The 4719-nt window shown below is 37.8% G+C and overlaps 1 annotated feature.

Annotated features, from left to right (window-relative positions):
• Nucleotides 3854-4470: an enhancer, noted in NCBI's record as "OCT4-NANOG hESC enhancer chr11:96479048-96479664 (GRCh37/hg19 assembly coordinates)". NCBI's record gives its function as "activates a minimal SCP1, AML or CMV promoter by ChIP-STARR-seq in naive H9 embryonic stem cells {active_cell/tissue: H9 hESC(naive)}" and the evidence as "EXISTENCE:reporter gene assay evidence [ECO:0000049][PMID:30033119]".

The following is a 4719-nucleotide window of genomic DNA, read 5'->3' as shown; positions in this document are numbered from 1 at the left end:
AATTGGAAGCAAAACAAACCTCATCAAATACAAAAGAACTGAAATCATAATAAACAGTCTCTCAGACCACAGTACCAAATTAGAACTCACTCAAAACCACACAATTACATGGAAATTGAACAACCTGTTCCTGAACAACTCCTGGGTAAATCATGAAATTAAGGCAGAAATCAAGAAGTTTTTTGAAACCAATGAGAACAAACAGACAAAGTACCAGAATCTCTGGGACACAGCTAAAGCACTGTTAAAAGGGAAATGTATAGCAATAAATGCCCACATCAGAAAGCTGGAAAGATTTCAAATAGACAACCTAACATCACAATAAAAGGAGCTAGAGAAGCAAGAGCAAACAAATCCAAAATCTAGCAGAAGACAAGAAATAAGTAAGATCAGAGCAGAACTGAAGGAGATAGAGACACAAAAAAAGCACTTGAAAAAATCAATGAATCCAGGAGCTGATTTTTTGAAAAAATTAACAAAATAGATTGACTGCTACCTAGACTAATAAAGAAGAGCAAAGAATCAAATAGAGAAAATAAAAAATGATAAAGGGGATGTCACCATTGACCCCACAGAAATAGAAACTACCATCACAGCATACTATAAACACCTCTGAGCAAATAAACTAGAAAATCTAGAAGAAATGGATAAATTCCTGGACACATACACCCTCCCAAGACTAAACCAGAAAGAAGTTGAATCCATGAAAAGACCAATAACAAGTGCTGACATTGAGGCAGTAATTAATAACCTACCAACCAAAAAAAGCTCAGGACCAGAAGAATTCACAGCCGAATTCTACCACAAGTACAAAGAGGAGCTGGTACCATTCCTTCTGAAACTATCCCAAACAACTGAAAAGGAGGGAGTTCTCCCTAACTCATTTTATGAGGCCAGCATCATCCTGATACCAAAACCTGGCAGAGGCACAACAAAAAAAGAAAACTTCAGGCCAATATTCCTGATGAACATCGATGTGAAAATCCTCAATAAAATACTGGCAAACTGAATCCAGCAGCACATCAAACAGCTTATCCACCACGATCAAGTTGGCTTCATCCCTGGGATGCAAGGCTGGTTCAACATATGCAAATCAATAAACGTAATCCATCACATAAACAGAACCAATGACCAAAACCACACGATTATCTCAATAGATGCAGGAAAGGCCTTCAATAAAATTCAACATCACTTCATGTTAAAAACTCTCAATAAACTAAGTATTGATGGAACATGTCTCAAAATAATAAGAGGCATTTATGACAAACCTACAGCCGATATCATGCCAAATGGGCAAAAGCTGGAAGCATTCCCTTTGAAAACCAGCACAAGATAAGGATGCCCTCTCTCACCACTCCTATTCAACATAGTATTGGAAGTCTGACCAGGGCAATCGGGCAAGAGAAAGAAATAAACAGTATTCAAATAGGAAGAGAGGAAGTCAAATTGTCTCTACTTGCAGTCAATATAATTCCATATTTAGAAAACGCCACCATCTCAGCCCAGAAAACACCCTAAGCTAATAAACAACTTCACCAAAGTCTCAAGATTCAATATCAATGTGCAAAAATCACAGATATTCCTATACACCAACAATAGACAAGCAGAGAGCAAAATCATGAATGAACTCCCATTCACAATTGCTACAAAGAGAACAAAATACCTAGGAATATAGCTAACAAGGGATGTGAAGGATCTCTTCAAGAAGAGCTACAAACCACTGCTCAAGAAAATAAGAGAGGACACAACCAAATGGGAAAACATTCCATCCTCATGAATGGGAAGAATCAGTATCATGAAAATGGCCATACTGCCCAAAGCAATTTATAGATTCAATGCTATTCTCATCACATTACCATTGACATTCTTCACAGAATTAGAAAAAACTACTTTAAATTTCATATGGAACCAAAAAAGAGTTCATATAGCTGAGACAATCCTACTAAACAAAAAGAACAAAGCTGGAGGCGTCCCCTATCTGACTTCAAACTATACTACAAGGCTACAGTAGCCAAAACAGCATGGTACTGGCACCAAAACAGACATATGACCAATGGAACAGAACAGAGGCCTCAGAAATAACACCACACACCTACAACCATCTGATCTTTGACAAATCTGACAAAAGCAAGCAATGGGGAAAAGACTCCCTATTTAATAAATTGTGCTGGGAAAACTGGCTAGCCATATGCAGAAAACTGAAACTGGACCCTGTCCTTATACCTTATACAAAAATTAACTCAAGATGGATTAAAGACTTAAATGTAAAACCCAAAACCATAAAAACACTAGAAGAAAACCTAGGCAATACTATTTAGGACATAGGCATGGGCAAGGACTTCATGATGAAAATGCCAAAAACAATTGCAACAGAAGCCAAAATTAACAAATGGGATCTAATCAAACTAAAGAACTTCTGCACAGCAAAAGAAACTATCATCAGAATGAACCGGCATTCTACAAAATGGGAGACAATTTTTGCAATCTACCCATCCGACAAAGGTCTAATATCCAGAATCTCCAAGGAACTTAAACAAATTTACAAAAAAAAAAAAAAAAACCTTATCAAAAACTGGGGAAAGAATATGAACAGACACTTCTCAAAAAAAAGATATTTATGTCTTTACTTTAAGCTCCTCCTCAGACAATGGGAGCGTCCAACAAGCATATGAAAAAAAGCCCAACATCACTGATCATTAGAGAAATGCAAATCAAAACCACAATGAGATACCATCTCATGCTAGTCAGAATGGTGATTATTAAAAAGTCAAGAAACAATAGATGCTGGCAAGGCTGTGGAGAAATAGGAATGCTTTTACAGTGTAGGTGGGAATATAAATTAGTTCAAACATTGCAGAAGACAGTGTAGTGATTCCTCGAGGATCTAGAACCAGAAATACCATTTGACCCAGCAATCCCACTACTGGGTATATACCCAAAGGAATATAAATCATTCTACTATAAAGACATATGCATACATATGTTTATTGCAGCACTGCTTACAATAGCAAAGACATGGAACCAACCCAAATGCCCATCAATGATAGACTGGAATAAGAAAATGTGGTACATATATACCATGGAATAACTATGCAGCCATTAAAAGGAATGAGATTATATCCTTTGCAGGGACATGGATACAGCTGGAAGTCATCATCCTCAGCAAACTAACACCAAAAAACAAAAATGAAATACCGCATTTTCTACCTCATAAGTGGGAGTTGAACGATGAGAACACATGGACAAATGGAGGGGAGCAACACAGGGCTAGTAGGGGTTTCGGGGGTGAGGGGAGGGGAGGGAGAGCATGAGGACAAATAGCTAATGCATGCAGGGTTTCAAAACTACATGATAAGTGGATAGGTGCAGCAAACCACCATGGCACACATATACCTATGTTACAAACCTACACGTTCTGCACTTGTATCCCAGAACTTAAAGTAAACTTTAAAAAAAAAAATAAGAGGAATTTACATCACTCAAATACTAATAGTGTCTGTTGGAAGTTTTGTTTTTGAGGAAAGTATGACAACTTTGTTTTTTTAAAAAAATAGTTGCATCTTTTTAAGTGGAAGAATGAGGTTGTAATGATTGTTATATGTTAGTTGAAATATGAATAGAAATGTGTGAGCAAATGCCATGCACTGAAATGGGGTAAAGTGTGCCAGTTACTCGCCTATCATTTTTAGTCTCATACCAAGCCTTCTTATCCTGCTCTATCATGATGGGGGTAGGAGTCTGTAAACTGCATTTCCAGACCTCCTCACCAGATCATTTCTCATTAGGTTTGGCCCATGGGAGCCTCTTGAAGAATTTTGGAAAGAAGGAGAAGAGAAGAAACTCAATTTCAGCTTCCAATTTCTGTCAGAATCCTTTCAACAGCAGTTGATAACTATAGCTTCAACATGTTTCATCATTCCCAGAAAAAGTACATGGCATGATCTCAGTCGTCCCAACAATAGCAAAGTGGTACTCTCTTAAATGTCCCAGCAGAGCCTGGCACTCACTCATATGTCAGTATATCTTCCATTGACCCAGAGTCTCTGAAACTGTGGTAACTTATCCAGTGTCTTAGATCCTGAGATAGTGGAATCTCCTGAAGTTATGACAACTCTTCAGACAATGGGAGCTTTTGAGGAAGTGGCTTCTCCTTCTGACTTGTAAATTGTGACAACATCCCCCTGTTGCTTTCCCACACTTACAGACAATAGCAGCTTCCTGCAGTTACCAACCTCTCATACTTTTAGATTTTCCAGCTTTTCAACACCTGCATAAACACTTTGCTTAATTAGACTCCCAGTTCTTGAAACACCTTGCAGAGCTCCCTTTTTTCTAAGTAGAATATGACTAAAACAGTGCCCCAAATGGCAGGGTGCTTTTCGTGGGATGAAAATCAGTGACTCATGCAATAACTATTTAATATATTTCACTATCTGATTTGTGCTTCCAAAAGCATGCCTACCCTACTTGAAAATAATATTGTTAAGGCATTATTACCTTGTAATACAGTTAAACGTACAGCCATGGTGCACCAACAGCATTATTCCCCTTGTATTGTGCAACGTGACTAAAGAGTGTTGGGATTTCTTGAAGAGACAAAGCATCTCTAAGAGCCCAGAAGTAATGCTCTCGATAGTAGAAATAGAATAAAATGGAAGACCTTCCAGAGAGGGAAAAATTAAAGGGCTTAAGAATACTTAAGTAGAATTTGAGTGAGGT

The sequence above is a fragment of the Homo sapiens genome, chromosome 11, assembly GCF_000001405.40.
Source record: "Homo sapiens chromosome 11, GRCh38.p14 Primary Assembly".
Taxonomy (NCBI): domain Eukaryota; kingdom Metazoa; phylum Chordata; class Mammalia; order Primates; family Hominidae; genus Homo; species Homo sapiens.
This window is presented reverse-complemented; position numbering and strand designations above follow the sequence as displayed.